Source organism: Homo sapiens, chromosome 20, assembly GCF_000001405.40.
Source record: "Homo sapiens chromosome 20, GRCh38.p14 Primary Assembly".
Lineage (NCBI taxonomy): Eukaryota > Metazoa > Chordata > Mammalia > Primates > Hominidae > Homo > Homo sapiens.
This window is the reverse complement of record NC_000020.11, coordinates 42,099,111-42,127,094: the sequence shown is the minus strand read 5'-3', so window position 1 is coordinate 42,127,094 and position 27,984 is coordinate 42,099,111. Positions and strand designations below refer to the sequence as shown.

The following is a 27,984-nucleotide window of genomic DNA, read 5'->3' as shown; positions in this document are numbered from 1 at the left end:
ATCTTGGCTCCTCCATCACTTGTGTAACCAACTCCCCATACTGAATTGCCTCGTCTGAAACACATAGACTGGTTTCTGTTTCCCTAACTACACCCTAATTAACAAAGGGCCTACTACATGGCCAAGAACTGAGGCTGCAACTTCAGTGGAGTTGAAGATGAACACCGTCTCTGCCACCATAGCCCTTCCAGAAAAGTTCACAGGAGACAGCCAGTTCTGAATAGCTTTTCTCCAGCCCAGAGCAAGGCACTCTGAGCATACATCCATCATGCCAGCAGCCTTTCCTTCATACATCCAGTATTCAGTTCACAAACACAGAGCAGACCCTCCACTGTGTATGGGAAATACTGACTTTTAAGACCAGGTCTCTGACCTAAAAGGGACTCAAATCTGGTGAGGGAGTCAGATAAGAAAATAGACCTTCACAGAGCAGGGGCTGTGGGACCATAAAGGAAAATCAAAGCTTCAAGTTGGTGGGAAAGGGAAGTAGCCAGTGAAGGCTCCCTGGAGGAGGTGATGTCTCAGTTCTGCCTTGAAAGATGACTTAGAGCCAGCCAGGCAAGAAGGGTTTATAGTAACCTAAGAATTACTGATCACCTTTCATGTACCAACATCACCTTAACTAGTATCACAACTTCACAAGGTAAGTACCACTACTACCCATTTCCAGATGAGTAAGTGAGTCTCTTAAGATTATATAACTTGTCCAGGATTATACTGCTAGGAGGTAGGGGAGGAGGGAGCAGAAATTTGAGTCAAGAGTACCTCTCCCACCATACCCTGCTGTCTTTAATAATCACAGTGAGCAATGACAACACCAACTGGCTCTTAATGAGTCACTCTTGGGGTCCTATGATGGGTGGCTCAAGTAAGTCAGCTTATCAAAACTTCTTAACAACCCTTCAAGGTAGGTGTTCTCATTCCCATTCTCCAGATGGGGAGGGCTAAGGTTTAGAGAAATCACAAATACGTCTCAGGCCATGCAGCTGGTCAGTGGCAGAACCAGGATGGGAACCAGACCTGAATGGCTCCCAGTTTAGCACTCTTTCTCCTTCCCCTCCCCCCCCCCACTCCCAGACACCGCCTTGTAGCCAACACACAGCAAGGACCGAGTCAGCATATATTGATGCAGGTTGAATTGATTCCTTCCATTTCTCCTCGACCTTGTCTATGGCTGCATGGATATGACCCTAAGGACCACAGGCCACACAGGGTCTGGCATGCCTGAGTTTCTGTATCTGGCATTCATCATTTGACTAGAATCCCCCAACAAAAGTCATTTTCCTAGATAGGCACTCACTCCAAAGTTGAATGAGCATCTGACTACAGTCAGGGCCAAGATACACTTTGGTATTTTATAGGCAACAAACGAAATTGCTTTAAATGCAAGTTAATCTCTACAACTGCTAATTATGCCTCTGATTCATTTCCTGTTTTATCATTGCAAGGCATGTTTCAAGCCTTTAAAGACAGGAAACCAGAGCTGTAGGTTAAGAGCACTGTCCAAGGTCACACAACTGAACTTCAGTTCTCTGCCCACTTAGGACACACCACGACCTTCTTCTTCTGTCTGTAATAGGTTAGGCAGACAGGGCAAATGGCCTCTGTTCATGCTGTCTTATTATGGGATATTGAACTCCAGGCTCAATCTCAGTGGTTAGAATCCAGGGCCAATAAAGTCATGAATCTGGTCTGTGTTGAAGACCTGTGTTGAATCCAGGCCTTTTTGATTACTAGCTTTATGATCTTGGGTAAATTACTTAATCATTCTGATATCTATAAAATGAGATAATGATGCCACCCCACAAGTGTGCAATTACTGATGTAAAGTATCTGTCATGATCCCAAAAGGAAACATAGGCTTCCCCAAAGTGGGTACCCAGGGAAAGTTTAATAAGGATGTGAACAGGATTAAGAGAAACCAGTAGGGTAGGGTGCAGTATCACTAGGCTAACAATAGTAGGGAGTCCTTACCAGCCCTAGACCCAGATAAGGGAAGAGAGTAGCTATGAGAGAGGGCTGCCCTTCAAGAACTGAAGCCCTTGATTGAGTGACAAGGTCAAGCAAGGCATGGAGACCTGGCAGGGAGGAACCTAGAAGAACATATGCCCCAACCTCCTCCTGGCCTCTGAGTTCCTGCTTTTGTTCCCCATTGACTAAACCCAATTTGAAGCAGAAAGAATAGGAGCCCATGGCGCGATCCATACAGAGCAGACCATGGAAGGAAAAAGGGGAAATGGAGGGACAAAGGGAAGAAAGCCAACCACAAGCAACTCCTTGCACAGTTACCACTATAGGGTGAAGAGTAGAGGAACTCCATTAATTGTGAACCAACTACATACTCCAGCAAAGATAAAATTCCTGGGGTCTCTATAGGGATTCCTGGCAAAACAGTACTCCAGACAGCTAACTAGGTCCTCACTCCATCACCCTGGTCTCCAACGCAGCCACAATCCTTCCTGGCTCTCTAAAGAGCTAACTGCCCATGCTAGAATCATTTCTCTACAATTGGATCTTGACGATTCATTAAAATAACTCCATTGGGACAATGAGCTGAATGGGGCCAGCCCTGTCTCTGCCTCCGGAGGCCGTGGTCTGTTACTGTCTGAACCATCCCGCTGGCAGGTTTGTTTGCACACCCGAAAATGTATTGGCCACTTAAATCTGTTATGAATTACCAGCCTGGAAATAAATATCGTATCTGGGTCCCCAGTAAGTAACAGATGCATGAGTGCAGAGTGAGATAAATGCGTTTTGGATGCAAACCTCTTTCCCATTGCTCACAGACAGATGGAGGCAGGCCCAGTGCTGGTTTGCAGTCAATCTGCGTGCTGTGTAGGTGGGACTTAAATGAACTCAAAGTTCTTTTAAGGTTAGGAAGTTTTCTGTACTCGCTCTTGGCGAATCCCCAGAGGAGCCCCAATTGAGCAGTACGTTTCCTTTTATCTCCTTTGCTGAGGAGTCTCGTGGTTAGAATGTTTTCTCTTTGGGGACTGCGTGGGTTTTTGGAAGCCAAGGAGGGTCTCTTTACTCAGATGCAGCGTGGGAACAGGCACACAGCATGCGTACATTCAGTCAATATGAATTTTTCAAGGCCAATGGCCCAGGCTGACTTGTAGGTGCTGGGGACATGGCCATGAGCAAGCCAGCCCTGGCTTCATGGAGCTCCCATTCAACTGGGGGAGCATGTAAATGAAGAAAGAATAGTGTGCTATTTGGTGATAGGTTATCTAACGAAAAGTAAGCCAGAGAAAGTGGAAAGAAGCTGATGGGGTGGTCAGAGATGAACTCTCCACAGACGTGATTGACAACTGAGCAGAAGCTTGGATGGAGCGAGAGAGCAAGCCACTCAGGTACCTGGGGGCAGACATAGCAGGCACGGGGAATGGCCAGTGCTAAGGCCTCTGGATGGACATGTGATCCCTATCTCTGAAGAAGAGCAAGAGCCAGTGGATGATGAAAGAATGGCAGAGAAACTGGGAACATCACTGAAAGGATGAAATAGAAATGACAAGAGGTGTCAAGATGCCCAAACTAGGTTTAAGGAGCCAATCAACCACCACCTCCTCTGAGGGGACCCTCCTTGGCTGTTCAATTCCCATGGGTACTCCACAGAGTCCCCACATCTTCCCATTAGTAGCCTTTACCCCAGTCTGTTGATGTCTATAAGTTGCTCAAAAGCAAAGTCCACATTCATCGGGTCCACTTTTGTATTTCCAGTGCCTTGTACATAGTAGTAGGTGCTTAATACCTGTTGATTGACAGTGAATAACTGTGCAAACAAATGAATTCACAAAATAGAGAATCCAAGCCATCTAACTCCACAACTAAAATGTGAATCTCTTGCTCAAAATGTTATCTCACTGAATTTCAAGCACATTAGAATCTTCCAAATCACAGCTTCCTCCAGGGTCTCTTTTTCTTCCAGCCTGAGCATTAAGAGGATGCTCCAACTTCAGCTCAAAAACATTCATACATGTATTTCACCAACCAGACTGCTGAAAACTGCACCCAGCTCTGGGTGGCATGTCCCATGTCCCAGGAGGAGAAAGGTACAAAAAAATTTACTGCAGCACATGGAATTGCATTCACTGAGCATATACAAAGCCCTACTGGGCCACTCAGGAGGAATGAGTCAGCTCTGTATCCCAGAGGAGAGCATATTTCAAGAGCAGCTTGGTGAGGCTGAAGCACAGGGTGCATGGGGTTGTAGGAGTGGACAAAGAGGGACAACTGGAGGTGAGGCTGGAGATGAAAATGGAGACAGATGACTAGTCCGAAGGTAAGGCATTTGGCATTACCATGCAGACAATAGGGAGCTACTGCAGGCTTATAAGCAGGGAAATAACACACTCAGTGTGCAAGAGGAAGCTCATGGGGTTAGGAAGCAGCAAGGCTACAGAGTGAAACTGCAGGCAGGGAAGCCAGCTAGTGGTTGGTGCTGTGGCCTCAGCCAGGGAGGATGAGGGCTGTGGGAATGAGTGATGGGAATGGCAGAAGAGGGCAGACTTGAGAAACTGCATCTTTCCAGGATCTAGGGGACTATTTTCTATTCCCAAAGCTACTCAAGACAACCCTTGGGTTTAATTCTTTCTTTTAGCCTGAGCAGCCCTGTCCACTTGACTTGGAGGAAGGGATAGGTCTTCCTACCCCTTGTGTCACAGGGAAGGGCTCAGTTATTACATTAACACAAAGAAGGTCTCATCATCCCAGTGTCCCCTGAGAGGCCTGCATACACTTTTAGTCTTGATAGGCACTCAGTAAATAAATATTTGCCAAATAAACAATAAAATAACAATAGCAAAGACATATATGTTAAATCTTAGAATAGTGCCTGGCACATAGTAACTGTTATATATCAACTCATTTAATCTGGTCAACAACACTATGAGGTAAATACCATTATCCCCATTAATTTTTTAATTTTATAGATTTAGAGAGCACAAGTGCAGTTTTGTTACTGTATGTATTGCACAGTGGTGAAGTATAGGCTTTTAGTGTAACCATCACCTGAATAGTATACATTGCACCTATTAAATTATTTCTCATCCCTCTCACCACCCTCCTACCCTGCCAACCTTCTGAGTCACCAATGTCTACGATTCCACACTTTACATCCATATGTACACATTATTTAGCTCCCACTGTAAGTGAAAACATGCGGTATTTGACTTTCTGTTTCTGGGAGTTTTTTGCTTAAGATAATGGCCTCCAGGCCCATCCATGTATCCATGTTGCTGCAAAAGTCATGATTTCATTATTTTTTATGGCTTAGTAGTATTCCATGGTACACATATATATGTATATACACACACCATGGAATACTACATCTATATATATATATCTCTTCATATATATCCATATATATATGGAATACTATATATATATATATATATAAAAAATTTCTTTATTCAGTCATCCATTGAGATGGACACATAGGTTGATTTCATATCTTTGTTATTGTGAATTTTAAAACTGAGGCACAATGAGACTAAGTAGCTTGCCCTAGACCACACACCCTAGAAGGGACAGAGCCAGCGTTCAAACCCAGGCAGCTGAGTTCCGGAGTCCATGGTACGCATAACCACCATGCTGTGTTGCCTGCCTAGTTGGTTTGTCAACAGCTTGTTTATTGGGTATTTGCTCTGAGTCTCACATTGTGCTGAGCTCTGTGACAAAAAAAATTTTAAGCTTAGTAGGGAGTGTTTGTCCTTAAGAAACTGACAACCTCACTAAGTACATAGGAGTCCTCAAGCACAGAGTTTTAGTAGGGCTGTTGATTGCTCTGCGGTTAATCCAACAGTTCTGGTCATGACATTGCCCCTGGATTGGTGCCAACCTCCAACTCTAGAGCAGGCCCAGCAATTGGAAGGTGCCTGCAAAATCATTATCGAGCAAGTGAAACACAAAGGTGGAGAAATGTACAAGGGACGCAGAAACTTGTCTTTGTATCAGAAAGTGGGTCTAGAACTTTAGAGATGCCACATCTGTGGCACCATAAACCATACAGATGGCAGTTCTATTTCCTGAAGAAAGTGGCCTCGAGGCAGTTCATCTACCTCAACAGGGCAAAAAGACTGGTCAGCAACATCTAAGACAAAGACAGATGTTCATCAAACTTTAGGACTTATTTTCTCTGGACATGGTTAACCATAAAAGCTAAGTGGATTTCAGGACTGTCAACAATCTCCCAATTGATAGGCTCTAAAATTGGCATCTGTGTTCTTTAAAAATTTTATTCATCTATTCATTTATTCACTCATGTATTTATTTAACAAATACTAATTGCATTCAGTGTTCTGCACTAAATGCAGGTCTGTCTCCAAAACTTAAACTTCTACTCAATATGACTGTAACTGGAAAGAGGACACTCCATGTATGCCATGTCCAGGCAAAAGAGGGGTCACCTTCAACCTCTTGTCCAATGATGAAGGTTATGGGGCAGCAGGGTACTCCCCAACCAGAGTACAGCAGGGCCTACTGTAGTGCTCTGAAATGTACAGAGAAATTAGAAACTGGTCTTTGTATTTGCAGGTATCTTTATGGGTCTCCCAGGTCAGCCTTCCATAAGGTCTTCTCCGTACCTGGGACTTCAATTCCAAGCCCAGGAATGTTGGCATAGAGAAGCAATGTGGGATGCTTCTCAATTTTCTTTTTCTAATTGTTACTAATGGAAGAAGTCAACAATTGAATTGTTTTCTTCCTTTTTCTTCTCTGGGTGTCCCATAGGGTCTTGTACAGTGTTCTTCATATAATCATGGCTCAAGAAAGACTTTTTGGTGGTTGATGCTCCCCATAAACCTGGAAACTCCTTCTCTACCTGTTTTTGGGTGCATAAGGATAAGCAATGCCCATCCAATCTTTGCTCCCAGTGCCACTGGCTCCAAGGCAAGCCTATGTAGGCACCTCACAAGTAACTATAAAAATAGCTAGCATTTAGTGACTTACTACACACTTTATGTGCAATATCTCATTTAACCTTTGCCACTTCTCTGGGAATAACTGATGCTGTTCTCATTTTGCCCATGAGAAAATCAAGACTTGGAGAGGATGTTTATTAATATTGTGCTGTTTGCAAGCTTTGACAACAGACTCTTCACAGTGCTTTTCTCCTGTTATCCAGGGATACCATCGACCTCGGCACTACATTGCGACTCAAGGTAAGTGCCCTCCCTCCACCTAGTGCCTCAGAGAGGCTTCAGGGGTCCCAGGGGAAAGGGCTCTCTTAACTGCAAGGCTTGTCCTCTCCTCCTATATCTGTTACTCCAACCCTCCTTTTTCACTAAACAGCCCTGGAGGAGAGGAATGAGTTTCCACCAGCAAAGAAGCCACGGAGGGGTAGGCTGAAGACTCTCCAGAGGTCCTTGAGATTGTTCATTTGTTTATTTGGGAAGGAAAATGGTGGCAAGTTTCACTATAGGAAAAAGGCCCATGAGTGACAGAGCAAGGAGCTTCACTTGGTCAGGAGGGAGAGGCCCAAGCAGGTGCCATCAACACCTGCCAGGGCCGGAGCTGATGGTGCCTTATCTCCACGATAGGTGCATGCCCATAACAGATATGCAGCTGGCTGCCCTAGAAAGTAACTTGGCAGTGCGTTTTCAGAAGGCTTAAAAATGATCGTACCTTTCAAACCCTTCTGGAAAAAAATCCTGCAGATAATTATATATATAGACAATGACGCATATAAGAACATTATTCACGGTGTTATCTATAATAGGAATAAAAAAGCGAAAAATCTTAAATGCCCAACAATTGGTACGTTGGTTACATAAAGTGTGTTACCGCCATATTATAGAAAACTTCGCAGCTATTAAAACTGTTACGCTTGGTAAGAATTTTTAAGGGCATCAGAAAATGCATATAATAGGTCTGATGCTTATTACAGTAAATACACACATATACATATAAATATAGAAAAATGGTATTCAAACTTTTATATCAAACACATGTATTACTTTTGTAATTTTAAAAATGATGAAGGCCCAGGACATTGAAAGAGTAATTTCCAAGGAAATTGCTTTGGACTGTCAGAGCCTATTTTCTGCTCCTGGTCTTTTTTTTTTTTTTTTTTTTTTTTTTTTCCTTCCTTTCTGTTGAGGCCCTAGAGGAATGCCTCCAGCATTTGTCAAGCACAAAATCAGGCATCTCCTGTTTTTGTTCTCAGCGTCTGGCACCCTGCAGCTCTCTCCACCCCCCACCCCAGTTGCCTTCCTGTCTCTCATGGAGGTTCTGGAGACCAATTTTCGAAAACTCCCTTAAGCCATAATACAGTCCAGATAAGGTGATAGGTGGAGTTGGTAGAAAGGGTCTGAGCAGGAGGAGGACAGAAGGGAGAGGAGAGGCTGCCAACATTTCCAGTAGATGCTGCAGATTGTGAGAGCTTGGAATGAGCCTTTCCCCATCCATACCCTAATCTGTCCCCATCAGGCTCACATGTCTCAGGCCCGTGTCTCAGATACTTGGTGTCTTAACAAGGATCACCTGGCCTCACTCCTGCTCACCAGTGTGGAGACTTGACCAACCGGGGGGACAAACCTTCTCAGCTGCTGCTTTGCACTTGCATTCTCTAACCTCACTGTCTTCTCTGTTGGCAGGTCCGATGCAGGAGACTGTAAAGGACTTTTGGAGAATGATCTGGCAGGAGAACTCCGCCAGCATCGTCATGGTCACAAACCTGGTGGAAGTGGGCAGGGTAAGCCTCTCCTGCACTCGCCTGGGCAGAGGATGCTGGAGATGCACTCTCGAACATCTCTTTGTTCCATGCATCGTGCTAAGTGCCTCCTAGTCAGTATTTCACCCTCACGGCAACCTACAAGGGAGGTGTCATCACTCCTATTCCACATTCAAGCAATGTCCTTTCCCTTCAAATCCCCTTCATCCCTTTTTACACCCTCACTCTCCGTTGATGATGTCATCTCATATATTTTGAGGAAATTAAAACCATCAGTCGTTCACTCCCTCATTGTCACACCACAATCCTACTTGTATCTACAACTGTCCTCTTGTTCTTCTCCTCTGCTGTCAGATTTGACTATAAGAAATGGCTGTTTTTGTTGACCCAAATGGTCGAATGTCAACTGTTTCCTATGGCTCAGCCTAACACAACAGAAGCCATGTCTCTGCCCTTCCAAAGGCAAGCATAGTGCCTGGATCACAGATTCTACTCAATAATTTTTTTCATTTTTCCCTTTCTCACTTGCAAAATAAGTCTCTTTCTCATTGCCAAATTGTTCCCCTTAGCATACAAACATGCCCAGTACCTTCCATCTTAAAAAGAAAGGAAAAGGTAAATAAAAAGTATTTTCTTGTTCCCTCTTTTCTGCCAAACTTTAAAGACTCACAGGGTGGCTCTGTTTCTTCACTCATGTTCTCTTCTACCCACCGCAGCGTAGCTCCTCCCTCCATCCCACCAATAGTGATATTGTCAATATCACTCGCACCCTTCATGTCGACAAATCCAGTCTCCACTTCTCTCTTCTCATCTTACTCAATCTCAGCAGCATCCAACCCTTTGCTACCCGCTCTTCTTCCCCTGACCTCTAAATCTTGATGTTCTTCAGGGCTCAGATCTTGGTCTCCTGCTCTGCTCCATCTCAACTCTCTCTGAAGTGGTCCTCAACTACTCCTGGGGCTTAGAAATGGGACTGCTATTCCCAGCTTGCTTTTGCCTACTTAGTTAACTCTGGCATGTGGGTGGGCTGCTGAGTTTAAAGGCAAGGTGTACAAACACGAGAATTAAAAGGGCTCTCTACACATCATATGAACTAACTAAAATGTGGGCAGGTAAGTTTTTGTTTGGGTAAGAAACAGATAATTCATAAAGATGAATTCTGGCCTCTGCGACGATGGGAAGGAGACAATCTGGGCTTTCGTAATCCAATAAAGGGGTATGGACATCTCAGGGCCTAATGGGAATTTAGGACCAGGTGAGACTTTACCCATGAGTCCACCCTTATCTAGTCCATCACTCAATTTTACAGATGAGGAAACAGACCTAAAGGGGTAGAGTACCTACCCTGACGTCACTCAGCCAAAACCTAGGCACAAAATCTGACGCTGGACTCTGATTCCAGTGCTTGTGGTCACTCCACTCAGACTGTTCCCCAGGGACCCAGGCCCAGGGTGCAGCTACTGTGGACATAAAGGCCAGCCCAGGATTCAGGGATTCAGAGGCAAATTCCAGCCTGTTCTACAATATATCCCCCATTGGAAACAGATTCCCTTGATGGATAGACCATAAATCTAAATTGGATTTGGGGAGGAAAGCAGTCTCTTAGATAAGCTCCTGCTAGTGCCAAACACTGTGCCAGGTGCTTATTGTGCATTACCGAAACCTACAACCATCATAGGAGCCCATGTTCCTAGTTATTATTCAAGTGCCCTGGGTTTGCATCCTGGCCCCATCCCTTACCAACAGTTGACCTTGGGCAATTTTCTTAGCTTTCCTATGCTTCCTCGTCTGCAAAATGGGGATGATAATATCTACTTCATAAAGTTGTGTTGATAAGTCATTAGAATTAATACATGTAAAGTATTCGCAGAACACTTTGTGAGCCGTGGTAGACAGAGTACACAGTCAGTAAATGTTAGCTATCATTATTGATAGGAAGCTGAGGCTCAGAGAGGTTTCAGCACTTTCTTGGGCCACCCAGATACTGAGTGTTAGGACCAAACAATGAATCCATTTGCCCCCATGCTCTGTTGCACTATACCAGTGTTTCCCTAAGTGGGTTCCATGGGATGCTAGTCTGCAGGATGATTAGTGAGAAGAGGGTTCCACGGTTAAATACGTTTGGGAAATGCTGCGTCCTCTGTGCCCCTTTTGGAGAGTCGCAAAACACAAAACACATTAGCACTAGCATGAGAAAGAAGCTGAATAGTCCTGTAGCAAAGCTGCCTATTTAACTGTGTAATACAGCATTTCCCAAACTCATTTGACCACAAAACCTTTTTTTGTTTGTTTTTTGTTTCTTGTTTTTTACCTAACACCTATTAGCACCCAGCGGAACACACTGTGGGAAATGCCACTCTAGGCCGTGCGGCGTCCCCCGGAATGGTAATCATGCTTTTGTTCTTTTAAGGGGAAAACCATGATCTCTTTTTCATCCATGAGTGCGACTTAAACAGTCGACTGGGGAATGGCTTGCTCGCGTCCAGGGTCAGAGAGGAACTGCGCATCTTCCCTTGGAGTCCAGCAGCTACCATCCTTTTCCCAACCAAGAGCCTTTCTCCTTCCAGACCCCCAACTGCCACCTCTTAATGATGTCCCCCTCCCAACCACTTCTGCTTCCACCTCCTATTTCCCACCTTTTATTCTCATCTTTGCTCAGCTGATGATACTCAGCTGCTCCACCCTGACAGAGCAGAAAGGGGACTCAGTCAGTCCCCAAACTGGCCACATGGCCTTGGACAAGTCACCAAACCTCTGAACTTCAGTATTATTTTCATCTGTAAAGTGGGGACAATAACACCCACCTATCTCACCTTGTTCTATTTGATGACATAGTGTGATAATGCATTGGAAAGTTACAAGGAGCTTTGCAAAAGAAGGTACTACAATTATTTCTAATGGCTCCAGTGCCTCTGGGAGTGAGCTTGGCCCTGTGCAGCTTGCTGATCCCTGGCCAGCTGTGAACCCTGTGGACTGAAATGCCACCAAAGTCACCCTTGGGTTTATTTGGATGGGACGACCAGATGAGACAGCTGCTCACACTCAGCCATGTGCTTATGCATCCTTGTCTCTGTTCTGTCTCTGTCTCTGTCTCTCACTTGGCCACAGGTGAAATGTGTGCGATACTGGCCAGATGACACGGAGGTCTACGGAGACATTAAAGTCACCCTGATTGAAACAGAGCCCCTGGCAGAATACGTCATACGCACCTTCACAGTCCAGAAGGTAAGCTTCTTGGAGGCTGTGGGCAGCCGGTCCACCATGAGAGCCAGCTTGTTTGTTCATCCAGAACATGTGGTAACTGAGGGTCTGCTCTACGTCCAGCCCCATACTTGGCACCAGCAACAGATCAGCAATCAGGGCAGACATGGGTCCTGCTACCAGGGATCCCACATCTAGTAGGTGGGGCAAACTGAATTCAATAAGCAAATCAATGAAATAACAACACATTGTGATAAAAGCCACACAGGAATATGCAAAGGATGGAGATAGAAATCCACAGTAGGATGGGGTGGTAGGAGAGGGCCTCTTAGCAGAGGAGGCATTTGGGCAGAGAATGAGGGAGGAGGAACCAGTGAAGGGTAGAAAGGAAAGAAGAGCTATCCCAGGCAGAAGGAAAAAACATGCAGTCTGGAGGGGAAAAAGTGATCTCAACCTGTTCAAGGCATGTGGTCTCAACCGGGGGCATTTTGATCCCCCAAGGAATATTTGTAAATGTCTGGCAACATTTTTGGTTGACACAACTTGGGGGAGAAGGGTTAGGATGGTACTGGCACCTAGTGGGTGGAGAGGCCAGAGATGCTTATAAACATTCCACAATGCACAGGACAGCCTCCGACAACAAAGGATTATCCAGCCCAAGGCATCAGTAGTGTCGAGGTTGAGAAATGCTGGTCTGGACATTAAAAGGAGGCCAGGGCTGCACAAGCTTGGTGAGCAAGGATGTGATTGCAAATAAATATATTTATAACATGTTACATAATAATTGCTATTCTATCATTACTATTATATCATAATGATAGCTAACACTTACTGAGCACTTACTGGACCAGGTACTTTTCTAAATGCTTTGCGTAGAGTAACTCAGTTAATCCTCCCAATAACCCTATAAGGTAAGCACTATTATTATCCCCATTTTACATATGAAGAAACTGAGACACAGAGAGTTTAAATCAGTCATCCAAAGTTGCCCAGCTGCAAGGTTGGTACAACCAGGATTCACACCTTGGCTCCTGTAACACATTTCTCTTTCCATTACACCATAGGTTCCATTTCTCTAAAACCAATCACTTTAATAGACAATGTGGCCACAGGCCTAAGGATGCAAAAGCACTGGGGACTTACATGCTTTGAGAGCTGTGCCCTTGAGGCTTTGACAAGTCCTTGCAAGGGCCAAAGCAGGCTGCTCTGCAGACTAGAGCCCGGCATGCACACAGTACTGTTCCAGCATACAGAGTGGCCTAGGACATACTGTTTGCCCCGGAAGCTCCCCCTCCAACCCCCAGGCTCCTAAAGTCTCAGGGTCTTTTTCATCTGAATCTGCAGTCTCGGGTGAAAAAGTCAGGAAGCCTGTGAACTCCCTCCACTAAGAGGAAGGAAACCATCGGTACTTCAATGTTGCCTTAGGTCAGGTTTTTTAGAAGCAGAGCCTGAGGCAAGGATTCAGAAACATGAGGTATATCAGGGGAGCTCTCCCAGGAGAAATTCCTAAGAGAGAGTGGGAAGCAGGAGAGGGAAGGAAAGACACCAACCAAGGACAGAGGCTCCAGTGAAGTCTAGCCTAGAGCTGATCCACAGGGAACCTCCAAGGATAAACTATGCCACAGAGTGAGTTGTCCCCCTTAAGGCGTGGAAGCCAGACTTCTGTGCTCCCACGTCAGTCAGTCTGCTGATCGTGGACCATCCACTGAGGGGTAACCTCCAGGGTGGGCCAGCCCCTGTCAGCTGAGGGCGTGTCTCCAGAGAAGGGGACAATTGAAAGGCAGTAGCAACCAACAGTCCCTGCAGCTCAGGCCTGGAAGCACAGGCCCAAGGAAGAGGACCCAGGGGTACCAGTCTCATCTGCCACATCTGTGTTGAATGCCCGAGGATGGGATGAGTGACTGGCGACACGGGCAGGGAGGCCTTGAGGAATTGCAGCTAGCAAACCATGTTGAGGCATTAAGGTCCTTTCTCGTGTTACATTTTCTTTGTCTTTTAAACAACCACGAGGGAAGATATTACTCACAGGGAGATGCCCTTAAAAGACCCCAAGGGCCTCTGAGGATTAACTGGGCTTAGCCAGCCTCTCCACAGCATGCAGGCAGGCACTCAGCAAACATTACCTGCGATTTTAGCTCAAAATCGGTTCCTGAGCTGGGAACCTGGAAATAATAAACAGGGAGTGCTGTCTGCCCTTGAAGACAGCACAGACGCATCGGGGAGAGAGGATCCTTGATAAATCATCACAGCACAGGTGGGAAGAGCTCGAAGGAAGGCTTCTTGGGACTGAATTGATTTGGAGGATGGCGTGAAAAAAGTCCAAGTATTCTTGAAGCTTTCTCCTCTCTCACTTCAGCTCATTCATCACTGCCTTCATCTGGGCATCTGATTTCTCCCTCCTAACAGGACTGTCTGCCTCTAGTCCTGCCCCTATGTTAGTTTGGGTTTCCCAGAAGCAGAGCCAGAAGCAGCAGTCGTTTGGGTGCCCTGGCTCATGTGTTTAGGGAGAGTTTGCAGGGGGAAGGCAGTGAGAGAGCCAGGATGGGGTGGGGAAAGGAGCTGAGTGAGGAAGTGGCCTCAGCAGAGACTTGCTTCCACCTAACCCCATGGGAGCCCTGGAACATGAATGGTACTGCACACTTGGTCCAACCTTGAGGCAAAGGGGCCTCAGGTGCCCCCCATAAGGGTAAAAAAAATTTCTGTTTTTCCCAGAACATTACTGGTTTTAGCACTGAAAGTCCCACGTACCGGGCAACCCGTCAGTCCTGGGCAGACTGAGCAAGTGGCAAGCCAGTTGGTCACTCTCCCTCTACTATCAGTCAGTCACTGAAGGATGCTGCCCCACCCAGCCACACCCCAGGGGAGGGGGGTTCCTGTTCAGCTGAGAACAGTTCTCTTCAGAAGAGGGTAACTGTGAGCTGTGTGCAGCCACGACTCAGAGCAGGTGGCAATGAGTCCACTGGCCCAGTGATGGGGATCTGAGTGGGCACCAATAGTGCCCTCTCTGCAACCCCCGATCCACCCACCTGAATCCATCCTTCATGTAGCAGGATGCAGCCTCCTAAAATGCAAGTCTAATGATGCACTTCCTCTTGTGTGGAACCGTCTGTGTAATCTCCCTGTAGCTTCCCAGTGCCTTTGAGATAAAGTCCAAAGGCCTTAATGTAGATTCAAGGCCTTCTGGGATCCAGCTCTCATCTATTCTCCTGCACCCCCAGGCCTGTGGTCTCCCATGGCCTGACTTCCACTTGCCTCTAGCATTGCCCTGGGTTGCTAGTGATTCTCTGCACACACCATGCTAAGCCCTGTCCCCAGGCCTGTGCCCATGCTGTCCCCCTGCCTTGGATTCCTTCCTCTTCTCCCGTCAACTGGGTAATACTCACACATCACTATATTAGAATGATTAAGAGTGCAGACTGTGGAGACAGACAGCCAGGGTTCACATGGTCCCTTTACAACTTGTGAGTTGTACTGTGACCTTGGGTGTGTCACTTAACCTTGTTTAGCCTCAGTTTCCTGATCCATCAAATGGAGATAAAAATATAGGGATTTATATCAGGATTAAGTAAGTTAGCATGTTGAAGTGTTCAGAAGAGTGACTGGCACACAGTAAATGCTTAGTTAATGTTTGTTAGTTATTATTTTCACTATTAGTCTGTTTCAAGATGGAGGTCAAGCATCACCTCCTCCAGAAAGCCTTCTGGGATTTCTCTTCTCCTCAGATCAGGTTAGCAGGCACTCCTTTATCCACTTCAATAGAATTACCCACTTGGGCATCTGCCTCCCCGACAAGGCCATGAGCTGTTCCAGGGATAGGAGCTGTGGCTTTTATTCTCACCTTCCTAGTACCTAGCACAAGGCTGGGAAGGCTGGGCACAGGTCACACTTGGTAAATGATTTTTCAATGAAGGAATGAATGAATAATCAAACAGACTCTTCCTATTCAGTGTTCTCTGGGTATCTGCAGGAGATTGCTAAGTAGAAAAATAGTAGGGAACAGGAACTGTCTAAGCGAAGGCTTAGAAGTGTGACCTGGCCATGGAATGGTCAGAAAACCACTACTGGGCCCGGAGTGTGTCTCTGTGAGGGGTGGAGGGGTGTGAAAGGGGAGGGGAACCGCTCAGAGCTCTAGGCCCCACTCTGTCTCCATCAGATCAGAGAAGCTCTGCCTTTGTTTGTTTCGCATCTTATGTAATCATTCTAAGTAAGAATCTACTTAATAAAGAAGTCAGTACTAAGTTATATAAACTTTGAAAGCCACACAGACTATCACAGCCAAGGCTGGAACACTACAGAATATCAGACCTCAATCACTGAACGCCTCAGATTCCACTGGAAACAATTTGGACTGACTTGGTCCTTAAGGCCAACATTTCTTTAAATCCGTACTCAATACACCTCCTATGAAACATTTGTCAAAGACGATCCCCTAGGCAAACAAAAGAAGGTCTCCTAGGGTGCTCTGTGGCCCTCTTGGGCATTCAGAGTGTGTATGAGCACACTCAAGACTCTGAGAAATCCTGCAATAAAGCCATCGGTTTCGTTTTAACAATCCCATATTTCCCAAATGTAACTGATTACAGAATCGCTCTATCCAGTAACACCTATTAACAAACACTGTGAGGGCCCTGTCCCTGCGGGAGGTTCCTCAGTGCAGCAGCTATGGCTCCACGTGTTGCTGGGCTGGGTATGCGAGGGCAGCAGCTGGAAGAACAGAGGCCCGTTCTTTCCTCAGAAAGGCTACCATGAGATCCGGGAGCTCCGCCTCTTCCACTTCACCAGCTGGCCTGACCACGGCGTTCCCTGCTATGCCACTGGCCTTCTGGGCTTCGTCCGCCAGGTCAAGTTCCTCAACCCCCCGGAAGCTGGGCCCATAGTGGTCCACTGCAGGTAAGTCAAAGGTCCTTCACCTTGGGAGGCCGAGGCGGGCAGATCACGAGGTCAGGAGTTCGAGACCAGCCTGGCCAACGTGGTGAAACCTCGTCTCTACTAAAGAAAGATACAAAAACTTAGCTGGTCATGGTGGCATACATCTGTAATCCCAGCTACCTGGGAGGCTGAGGCAGAGGAATCGCTTGAACCCAGGAGCGGGAGGTTGCAGTGAGCCAAGATCGCGCCACTGCACTCCAGCCTGGGTGACAGAGCGAGACTCTGTCTCAAAAAAAAAAAAAAAGAAAAAGTCCTCCACCTACCCTAGTGTGCCTCTGCAGCTCGGCTTTCTTGGGAGGGACATGTTATCTTTTCTAGTGGCTTTACTCTTAGAGACTCCTCTTCCTGTGTCCCCCCCATGCCCAGTGCTTTCTGATGATACTTGGTCACAAGGTCAGCTAACAAAAGGAATAGCAGTAGTGGCCATTGTTACTGTTGTTGCCTGAAAACAGTGAAGAAGTCAGTCACCAGGGAGGCAGGCTGAACACTGGCAGCATCTGCTGGGTCTGTCACGTGCATTTTACCCACATTATTTACTTCTCGTCCAGTCTGGAGAGGTGGGCATTATTAACATTCCCATTTTACAGATACAAAAACTCAAGTGCTGAGGAGGTAAACACAGAGTGGGGATATTTCACCTGCTTTTCTCCAGACACTTGCCCTCAGCTCCTTGACATGGCAGCAGGGCGCCTTGGTGGAAGCATGCTTCTTTTCATTTCTATATTATTTTCAAGATCACTTGCCAGCCTGCAGGGTCCCTCATAGAGAGAAATGGACAGCACCAGGTTTTACCTTATTATGAAGAAGAGATATTTTCAGCTCTGACCTAGAAAGTCACATTGAGAATGAGTGGCATGTCTTTGAATCCTCCCAAATGGAGATGAAGTATCCTGTCAAGGGTGTCCAGAATTGGAGGAGGATGGCCTTCCTGACCTGAAGGCTGGCCAGCTGGCATCCCCCTCCTTCCCAACGCCTCTCTCTTCCAATATGACCTTGGGGCAGCCCATCTTTTCAGACCCTGGATGCTTGAGTTATCACATCCCTGCCCTGGCAGTTTGTGTCAGTCAAGAGACCATGGAAGACTCCATAAGCTGTGGATGTCTCAGAGCCAGCCCCGTCCTCATACAGCATCCATTTATTTATCTTCCCAGCAATAGTAGCTACACAACCCCATTTCACAGATAAGGCAAGTGAGGATGAGGAGGTAATCCTGGACTCTCTAAATGTTTTGCATGTATTTTCTGCTTTGCTTTATATCTCATAGCAATCAAAGGGCAATGGATCATTAATGCCCCCCATCTCTATATCCCAAAGAGCACCCAGATCAAGGGTTAGGGAGAAAGAAAGAAAGACAATGGCAAATGTTTGTTTATCATCAGGACTTCGGCGCATGATGGCTCTACGCCGGTATGTGTCTCCTTAGCAGGTCATCTTAATGCATCTGAGCAGAGTGGTACCCACTCCTGGGGCCATTCTGAAAATTATTACCAAATGGGTTGGCTAAGTGCCTAAGAGAGAATGCCTGACATATAGTAAGCACTCTAATATATCATTATTCTCTGCCTCCTCTTAATGTTTTCTTTCTCCCCCTCCCCAGATTATTTATTAATCCTTCAGGACAGGAACAATGTTTGTTTGTTTTCATATTCCCACTCCTAATACCAGCATCTACTGCATCTTAGATTTTCAATAAATATTTGTTGAATATAATAGTAATAATTTCTCAATAAAAAATGGCTATGTATCCAGGCACAAAGCAATTTGTATGCATTATGCATTTTAATTGTAATTTCATCCAATTTATACATATTGTGCTATTAATGCTGTGAGGTGGATCTATTAATTATTATCAACATCATTTTATAGATGAGTGAGTATTTTAATTATTATCAACATCATTTTATAGATGAGTATTGAAACCCAGAGAGGTTAAGTCATTTGCCCGAGGTCATGCAGCTAATAAGTAATAGAGCCAGGATTTAATCCTAGGGGGTCTTTTCAAATATCCTGTGTTCAATTACTATGTGATGCTGAAATGAAATAAACACAGCTTTGTCCTCACAAGGACCCTGCAGGGAGGTATGTTAAAAGCATCAGAAATCTGAAGCTAACAAACAAACGGACACTAGGCAACTTGGTCACCGCTGATTGATTGATAGTTGTTCCAAAATTTGGAACCAAATTGGGCTGATTCTTTATACTAAAGCATGGTGAATATGAACATTGAAGAAAAAAACACGAGTGACCCCCCCTATACTCCCTCCCAGACACAGAGGCCAAGTCTCTTGAGTCCCCGCATCTGGATTTTGGGGAGTAGGTTCTGAAGCAAACTTAAGTCAGACTTCATTCAAACCATGAAAGTTTCTCATGAATGAAGACTCTGCTTCCAATGGGTGTACTTTCCAAATTGTTGTAGGTAGTGGTCCGCACTGGCCTGTGCCCCTTGGATTTACCATGAGCCAATATTGCTTTTTTGTCTTGTTCCATCTCTCTTCCTCTTTGTGTGTCTTTTGACATCTACATTGTTAGACAAAGACACTTGTTTCCATGAGAAAGGCAAGATGTGAAAACGCAGCGGAAGGGGGCCTCCTTGACAGGCTGCCCGGCCTTCCCATCCAAAACTGCACATGTGTAAGGCACATGTCTTACGTGCCTCTTGGTCAGCACTGATGTTTCAGAGCCCAGCACTGATCTAGAAAGGGCTGGCCAAGGCCCATAGAGTCTCGTTGAGTTCCCCTACCATTTTATACTTGGTCTGAGATTCTCCTAAAGAAGCCACTAGTGACCAGAAATCAAGTAAGTATGTATCAAGAAACTTGATCCCTGACAAGGGTCTCCGGACGGTCAGCTGCTCCAGTTTCATGACACTCTTGCTTCACGATCCTGCGAAAACAGCTGCAGGTGGAGCCAGATGCCGGCCTTTGAACGTGGTGCTCCACCAACCACTCTCTGTCTTGGGGACAGCTCAGAGGACTCTCGTTTCTGTCCTGTCATTCATCTCCCCTCTGTTCTCTCTCCTCTCCTTCTTTGCTTCCATCCGTCAACCCATTTGCTGAAGAAGAAAAAAGAAGAGAAAAGAAGGGTAGAAAATAGGAAAGACATATCTATGAGGCAGCTCCAGCATGCCAGGAACCATGCTAGGTGTTTTATGCTATATGGATGTATTATTTTATCCATCAGACAAGGCAATGGCATGTATATGTGTGGTTTGCACATGCATTACAAACTATACATATTAAGAAAGGAAATGTGGGAACACATAATCTAGAGCCTCCCAGCAGGACCCTTGGGGATAGGGCTGAATGCTAGGGGCCTCCCCAGGGCAGGTTCCCCCCATGAAGATCCTTAACACAGACCATACCTCTCTTCCAGTGCTGGGGCTGGGCGGACTGGCTGCTTCATTGCCATTGACACCATGCTTGACATGGCCGAGAATGAAGGGGTGGTGGACATCTTCAACTGCGTGCGTGAGCTCCGGGCCCAAAGGGTCAACCTGGTACAGACAGAGGTGAGTCCTAGGGGGCCAAGACAGTTGGCCACCTGTAGCCCTGACCAAGGAGAAACATGATGATAGAACGGAGAGACACATAGGTAGGGGCATCCTATGGAAAGGACCTGGGTGTGAGAGAAGCAGGAGGGAGTAGACACGTGGCTTACTATGGTGAGACTACTGTAGAAGCTAGGGTGCCCCAGCCAACCCTGGAGGTCTACAGTGCAGGCAGTTCCACCAATGAAGAATGGTGGTGAGTTCTCCATCTCTGAGGCCATCCAAGCAGGGACAGAATGACAAATTTCGGGGATTATTGGAATAGTATTCTTGCCTTGGGTGAAGTGATAGAGAAGGAAAGAGAAGGACTGGCATTTATTCAGTGACCACTACGTGCCAAGCGATGGTTCAGTCACTGCAGGGAATGGTTTAATCAACAAAGTAATTGAGTACTTAAGCTGGGTGCTGGGCATTTCAAGAGATGTAACACACAGCCTCTGCCCTCAAGGGAGAAGCAGACCTTTAGGCAACTCTCTGTGCAGTTGGAGAGCCCAAACCTAAGAGTATTGAAAGGAATTAATCTTTATTGTTGTGTACCTACTGTGAGCCAGGCAGCATACATTCTTTCTAGTCACGGTATTGTTTCTACTCCTCCAAACCAGCTATGGTGTAGCTCCTAGTATTATCTCCAATTTATCAATGAAGAAGAAACTAAGAAATTGTGTCCCTAAGACCTCACATACCAGACTGTGGTAGAACTTCGGTCCATGTGACCCCCAAAGGCCTCTGCTTTTTCGCCAGAACCACACTCTCACTAAGCAGCCTTTTCTGCCTATCCCACTCTGTACCTTGGCTTATCATTCCTGTAACGAGCCCATCTTCTGTTCTAGTGAAGGCTCTGGGTGCCTGGGCGACCAGAGCTGGGACAGATAGGGAACTATGCACATCATCAATCCTGCAAAGGGAAGTGACCCATGGTTTTGGTACAGCCAGCCTCTCTGAATCTGCAGTGAATACCACCATTGATTGGTTTACACACATAGGCTCTGAGCTAACTCACACAGGCCAGTCTTCAGGCTTCTAGCACTAAAGCCAAGAGGGCTGCTTTATCTATTCCTAGGTCCATGCATGCAGAAGCCAGGCTTGCTGGTTGCAGTCAGACATATGGGGAGACATATTCAAATGCAGATGCATCACATAGCATCTGGAAAAGTACTCTTTATAGAGAAACTGACCAAGTTCTGCAGAAAAAGTCACTCAACAAACATTTATCTGGGGCCTAGAAGTAACACCAACTTCTGCCTGGTGGATTAACAGATGGCTTTCCAGAAAGAATGAAACATTAAAGGTATGGAAAAGAGGGAGTGGAGTTTCAGGAGGAGAGTACAGCAGGTACAAAGAATTGAGATAGGAGAAGATATGACACGTTTTGGGAGCAGATCGTGAGACAAAGATTTGCCGGCAAATAATTTGCTTGGAAGGTAATCCCAAGACACAGTGGCTGGTGAATGGGAAAGTGAGGCAGAGCAGGGAAGGAAACAAACAAAGGCTACTTTAACAAGTTGTTAAACACTGTAGACAACTGGAACCCAATTCTGCTGGCGAACTCTGAGACACATGCGTGTCCAAGTGATTCCACCTAAAGGGAGAGATTTCTTAGATTTCTATCCTCAACTCTCCATCTGTCATTGCTTGAGGGTTCCTTTCCACACAGCCCAAGTATCCCCTCTGCCTTCAGCAGACAATCACAGGTGTTTGCAGCAAGCAGCCTTCCTCAGGTAAAGGTGAAAGCTGAGGGGACATGGGCTGGACACCAAGAGCGCCTGCTGACAGCATGTCTAGAAGTTTCTCATTTTATCATGACTATGCTATTACATCTTCTATCAGAAACAAGACCCACCATAGCTCAGGTGATCATTAGGAAACATGGAAATTTGGCCCTTTGGGTTACAGTATAAAAAGTAAGGATCCTGTAATATATTGATAAATCATGTCTATTCTTCATAGCCACAACACTAAATGTGGACAGCTAATTCCCAGGCCACTGTTCTTACCTGGCACCCCATTCCCTCTCTTCTGACTTTGCAGGAGCAATATGTGTTTGTGCACGATGCCATCCTGGAAGCGTGCCTCTGTGGCAACACTGCCATCCCTGTGTGTGAGTTCCGTTCTCTCTACTACAATATCAGCAGGCTGGACCCCCAGACAAACTCCAGCCAAATCAAAGATGAATTTCAGGTATGAGCAAATCCCAGGCTCGGTGACCATCTTAGTCAGTTTGGGTTGTTATAACAAATTTCCATAGATTGGGTGGTTTAAATGACAGACACTTATTCATTACATTTCTGGAGGCTGAGAAGCCCAGCATCAAGCTTCCAGTAAATCCAGTGTCTGGGGAGGGCTCACTTCCTGACTTGCAGATAGCCGTCTTCTCGTTGCATATTCACGTGGTGGAAAGTAGAAGCAGCAAGCTCTCACATTTCTTCTTTTTTTTACTTTTTATAGAGATAGGATCTCACTATGTTGCCCAGGATGGTCTTCAACTCCTGGGCTCAAGGAATCCTCCCACCTTGGTCTCCCAAATTGCTGGGATTACAGGCAGGAGCCACCACACCTGGCCCTACATGTTTCTTCTTATAAGAGCACTAATCCCGTTCATGAGGGTTCTATGCTCATGATCGAAACGTCTTCCAAAGTCCCAACCTCCTAATACCATCACATTGGGGGCTAAGATTACGACATGGATTTTGGGAGGGATGAAAACATTTAGTCCGTAACAGTAACCCAACCAACTTCAGTGGCTATGTGCACATTTGTGGGGTTTTCTTTGGGACAACTGATCTATGCACTTTCAGTGTCTGCTTCTCTAGGAAGCTGCAGAATCTATTCCAGAACACAAAATGCACAGCCATGAGCAACTACACACTCACTCAGGGATTGCTGGTACTTGTCTTTAACTGTGAATATGTTTTTTAACTGAGGTCTTATTCAGTTCTAGTCCAAGTTGTGAATGGAGACAAATTTATACAAACAGGTGTGAATTTCATGCTCCTTCATCCCTGGAGGGACTCAGGTCCTCTCAGTAATTTTTCAGTAGACTCTTACTGCTAAAAGTGTGGTCTGCAGCCTGACCAACATGGTGAAACCCTGTCTCTACTAAAAATACAAAACAAGTGAGCCAGGCATGGTGGCATGCACCTGTAATCCCAGCTACTCAGGAGGCTGAGGCAGGAGACTTGCTTGAACCTGGGAGGCGGAGGTTGCAGTGAGCCGAGATTGTGCCACTGCACTCCAGCCTGGGCAACAGAGTGAGACTCCATCTCAAAAACATAAAAAATAAAATAAATAAAATTTTAAAACCTGCAGTCTGGAGACCAGCAGCATTGGCTTCACCTGGGAACTTGTTATAAATGCAGAATCTCGGACCTGGCCCAGACATAGTGAATGAGAGCCTGCAAGTTAACAAGATCTCTGAGTGATTTGTATGCATGTTAAACTTTGAGAAGTACTGTCCTAGAACATAGCTCAGGTATACCAGATCCACACCTGGAAGCCCATGCGGTCAGAGCTGTGGCAACATTGATTGGTCTAGGGAGCCTGGACATGAATCACTAAGTAAGATAAAGCCAGAGTCCAGCCCTTTATCCCAAGACCAGTGTCAGAATTACACCTGGGCAACAGGAGCTGAGAACCAGGTATGAGAAAGCAAGGAAGCTCCAGGTCTTGCTTCAAGTCAGTGGGCAAATGCCAGGCCCATTGTTCCACGGGCAGATATCCCAGGCAGGCCAATACCTTAGCAATCCCTAAAACAAATAGCCATTATTGATCTGAAGTAGAGACAGAGAGCTGAATGAGGGAAGGATGGAGGGTACAGAACACTGGTCATTGCACGTAACATCTAGTCCATTGGCTAGAGCAGTTCAGCTCTGGCCTCAAACTTGCAAGATGTACTCGGCAAAGTCCAAACACAGCAATTTCCCAGACCTGTTAGGGTTTGCCCCTCGGAGGTCTCTCATCTATCCTGAGCAGGTCATCTAGGCATCCTTCCATACTCAGACAGCTTTCTCTCTGAGAAGAGGGCTGGTAAATCATTTCCCCCATTCCATGACAACGCAAGTGATGTTTAGCCCTCAGTAGGGATTCCCTACCCCCACCCCTCTGTATGCCCTCCTGGCTGGCCCACCCTTTAAAGCAGCACTGGCTGAGCTGAACGACTTAGTTCATCTGGTTGGCAGGTACTATGAGGCTGTGTCTGAGCCTGTGTGTGGATGCGCTGCTTCTGCAGCCTTGGCGTTTTGAAGGTGTCACACAGCTCACACACCCTATAGCAGGGAGCAGGAGAGGACAGAACATCACCGTGGAAGAGAAATGGGTCCCGGGAAAGGGAGAGTGGGGCTGCGCTTAGAGGGTGGAAATAGGCGAGTTAGGCTGAGTTGGAACATTACTGTCTCTTTTGCTCAGGGGCAGCCAAATGAGCAGGGCCTATCTATTCACCTTTGTGCCCCACAGACCCTCAACATTGTGACACCCCGTGTGCGGCCCGAGGACTGCAGCATTGGGCTCCTGCCCCGGAACCATGATAAGAATCGAAGTATGGACGTGCTGCCTCTGGACCGCTGCCTGCCCTTCCTTATCTCAGTGGACGGAGAATCCAGCAATTACATCAACGCAGCACTGATGGATGTAAGCCGAGCCCGGGCAGAAAGCTCCTAGCTGGCATTCTAGGGCAAATATTCTTCCTGAGGTGGAGGTGGCTGGACCTCAGGGCCCTGACCCCACCAGCCAGCCCCCCCTGCTTCTGATCTACTAGTCCCAAGGACCTTTGTTCCCCTGCAGGCTCTGGTCCAAACCTAGACACAAGGTGGGCTCTTGGCTCCTTTTCTCATACAAAGAGCCTGGAAAGAATAGACCAGAAGCGTAAGGTGGCTCCCGTGTCACCATGGCAAGTCTACAGGCCTGCCTAGCAACCTCTTCCATTCCCCACAGAGCCGACTCTCAGCCTGAAGTTTAGTAAAGCAGGTATTTTCTGTGCTGGGCCTTGGCCTGAGCGTGGGAACACAAGACGGTGCAGACACAGGTTCTGCCCTCTGGTAGCTCCCATGAAGGTTCCAGATAACTCCTGAGCAGAGACAAAAATGAGGATGGCGCACAGTAGGGGCTCAGTAAATGGTTATTGGGAAAGTAGTGGGAAGCAGTAAAACAAGCATGGGGTGGAAGCGGGCTGTGTTCCTGGCTGTCCTGTGAGGGCCACTGCCCCCCACTTTCTTGTCATCAGGTCCAGGAAGGGGCTTCACCCTACCCTGGTTTGGGATTAGGGTCATGTTCCTGGTCCAGCGAGCCTAAGCTTCTCCCCTGCGTTTTTCGGATACTTCTGATTATCATCACTTCCCCTCCAAGGTGTACAGGTGTTTGCAGTAGGAAGGAACTATGGACCATCTACTACCAGCCATGCACTTTTCAGCAGAGAAAACAGAGGCCAGACAGAGAAAGAGACTTGCTCAAGGTCACCCAGGGAGCTAGTGGCACAGCCCACACACAGAGCTCCTGGGTCACACTCTGGAATTCATTTCTTGAGCCTCCCTGCAATTTGGTGGATCCAATAAGAGGCAAACATCTCACCTCCTGAGGCTCAAAACCAAGAACACCATTGCCTGATATAATGAGCCCTTCCAGCTTCCCCTCCCCAGCCCATCTGAGTTCACATCCATCTAGCCCATGTGGCCCTCCTATCTCACTCAGAATAGACAGAAACATGGGATGCTTTCTCCTGGGGTCAAGGCCAACAACTTCTCTGACCTCTAATCCTCTTGAAGTTTCTCCCAAGGGTCTGGGTGTTAGAGGCAGGAGGGTGATGATGGAAGGTCAATGCCTATCCCAGCTCTCTAGGGGCCTGCCCTGGCCTCTGTCCACAGAGTGCCCATATCCTCTGTAAAAACCCTAGCTCTGGGTTCAGAATCAGGGAGTCTTGGCTTGGTCATAGCAAGTAGCTAGAGGTGGAGAGAAGACCTTTGGCATTAGCTTATAGCTTAGAGCCTTCTAAAGTCAATGAGCGCATGTATGTGTATGTGTGCATGTAGGTGTGCATTATGTGTGTGAGTGTGATGAGAAATGGAGCCTAGGGGTGCGCCCATACTTCCAATTTCCTCCTAGCTTTGTCTCCCACTTCTCCCAACACCCCCTCCCTGCCTTCCTCATCCAGGCAAAGATCAAATAAGCTCCTGGCCTCTACTTAATAGGTTAGATACTGCCTGGAGTCAAATGCCTTCTGCCAAGCTCTGATGCTGATTGTATTCTCTTTGTCCACAGGGCATTTCTCCTGTGAGCCATCACTGGGGCCTTTGCCTTTCTGATATTAAAAACAAAAAAAAGTCGTCCTTATCTGTATTCCAGCCCAGTCAGTGCATTATCTGGTAACCATAGCAGCTTTGCTCCTAGCAGAAAAATATGAAGTCCTCTGGGTTAATTTTTAATGTTTCCCCTGGTAAAGGATGATGTTATCCATGAAATGGATTGCCGGCTGATCCCTGAAACCCGGCAGGAGCACGGATCTCGAACATATTTTCAGATAAGGCTTTGTCAGGCGTGCTGGCCTAATAGAGCGTTTATCACAGAGACAGGGAAAAAGAAAAGAAAACTAACATTCACTGAGTGTTGGGCACCATGTCGGGCCCTGGACTTGCACTGTCCCATTTTGCATGTGGGTATTCTCATCCCCATTTTCTGATGAGGTCCTCGGGGTCAGAGTATTTTCATTCATCACTTGCTCAAGGTCAAGTAGCTCAGAAATGGGAGCCAAGGATTGGAGCCCCAAGTCTGTTAACTCTCAAAGCCTCAATGTTTTTCCATGTCTGGAAATGGCTCAAAGTTGATGCTGTCTACAGCTAGAGAGTTTGGCTTTTGGAAAATAAATTATTTGCCTATGCCCACCCAGACCCCTCTTCTGAACATTCTACTGGCCAGGAAAAGGCCCTCGGAAGAAGGGCCCCCCCAGCCAATGCACGCATGATATCCATGTTTGCAAGGCTTTGTCCTGCTTTTTCCAGGGTCTTTGCCCTCTTCCCTCTTGCTTGTAACTGCACTGAAAACAGCTGTAACTCCCACAGAAACCATCATCATCTCTTGAGAAAACATATCAAGCACATGAGCCACTGATGAAGTGGAGAATCTTCCCAATCTTTTCAAATACATGACTTCAGGGTGGGGAGAAAATAAATAGGGCCCTGGATGAAGCTGCCAGACCACCCCACCCCCCCCCCCCCCGCCCAGGCCATTTTCTCTGGGCCTCTGTTTCCCTATCTGCAACACGGGACTGAATTTATTGTTTTATTCACTGGAGTGGCACTGTCTAGCATGTGCCAGCGACAATACCAGTGCCAAGGACGTAAAACAAAGTCAGGGGTGTTTCTGCCCTGCCAGTAGGCTTACGTTCCGGCTCTTGTTTGCTGGCCTTTTCACACGTAAATCTCATTCAATCTGTGTGACATCATTCCTTTGGATTTATGATTTCCGTTTTCCAGGTGAAGAACATGAGCTTTGGAATCATCTAATAACTTGCCAGTATTTAGCACCCACCCCGCCAAAAAAAAAGCACTCTACAAAGTTTGAATGAATGGATGAATGGATGAATGAATAAATGGGCAAATGGATGGACAGATGGATGACTCATAACTTACAAGTGGTAAAGCTGTACTTGAAC

The 27,984-nt window shown here is 46.5% G+C and overlaps 1 protein-coding gene and 1 long non-coding RNA gene across 16 annotated transcripts in view; one reads left to right on the top strand and one right to left on the bottom strand.

Annotated features, from left to right (window-relative positions):
- The window catches only part of PTPRT (protein tyrosine phosphatase receptor type T), a 1,158,017-nt gene that overhangs the window by 1,062,812 nt on the left and 67,221 nt on the right, over window positions 1-27,984 (top strand). For 8 of the 11 annotated variants that reach the window (XM_047439848.1, NM_007050.6, NM_001394025.1 and 5 more), the window contains 7 exons: window positions 7,124-7,160; window positions 8,595-8,692; window positions 11,780-11,896; window positions 16,608-16,762; window positions 20,174-20,309; window positions 22,377-22,526; window positions 24,798-24,971. In XM_047439848.1, coding sequence (XP_047295804.1) covers window positions 7,124-7,160; window positions 8,595-8,692; window positions 11,780-11,896; window positions 16,608-16,762; window positions 20,174-20,309; window positions 22,377-22,526; window positions 24,798-24,971 — 867 coding nt within the window. Of the gene's footprint in view, window positions 1-7,123; window positions 7,161-8,594; window positions 8,693-10,996; window positions 11,057-11,779; window positions 11,897-16,607; window positions 16,763-20,173; window positions 20,310-22,376; window positions 22,527-24,797; window positions 24,972-27,984 lie in introns of all 11 variants that reach the window. The other 3 variants (NM_001394024.1, XM_047439846.1, XM_017027611.2) reach the window with 1 other exon arrangement.
- Window positions 18,591-27,984, bottom strand: part of LOC101927182 (uncharacterized) — a 204,657-nt gene continuing 195,263 nt past the window's right edge. For 4 of the 5 annotated variants that reach the window (XR_001754611.2, XR_001754609.2, XR_244179.4 and 1 more), the window contains 2 exons: window positions 20,163-20,294; window positions 18,591-19,853 (listed from right to left, as the gene is read on the bottom strand). This is a non-coding gene — a long non-coding RNA (uncharacterized LOC101927182). Of the gene's footprint in view, window positions 19,854-20,162; window positions 20,350-27,984 lie in introns of all 5 variants that reach the window. The other variant, XR_001754608.2, reaches the window with a different exon arrangement.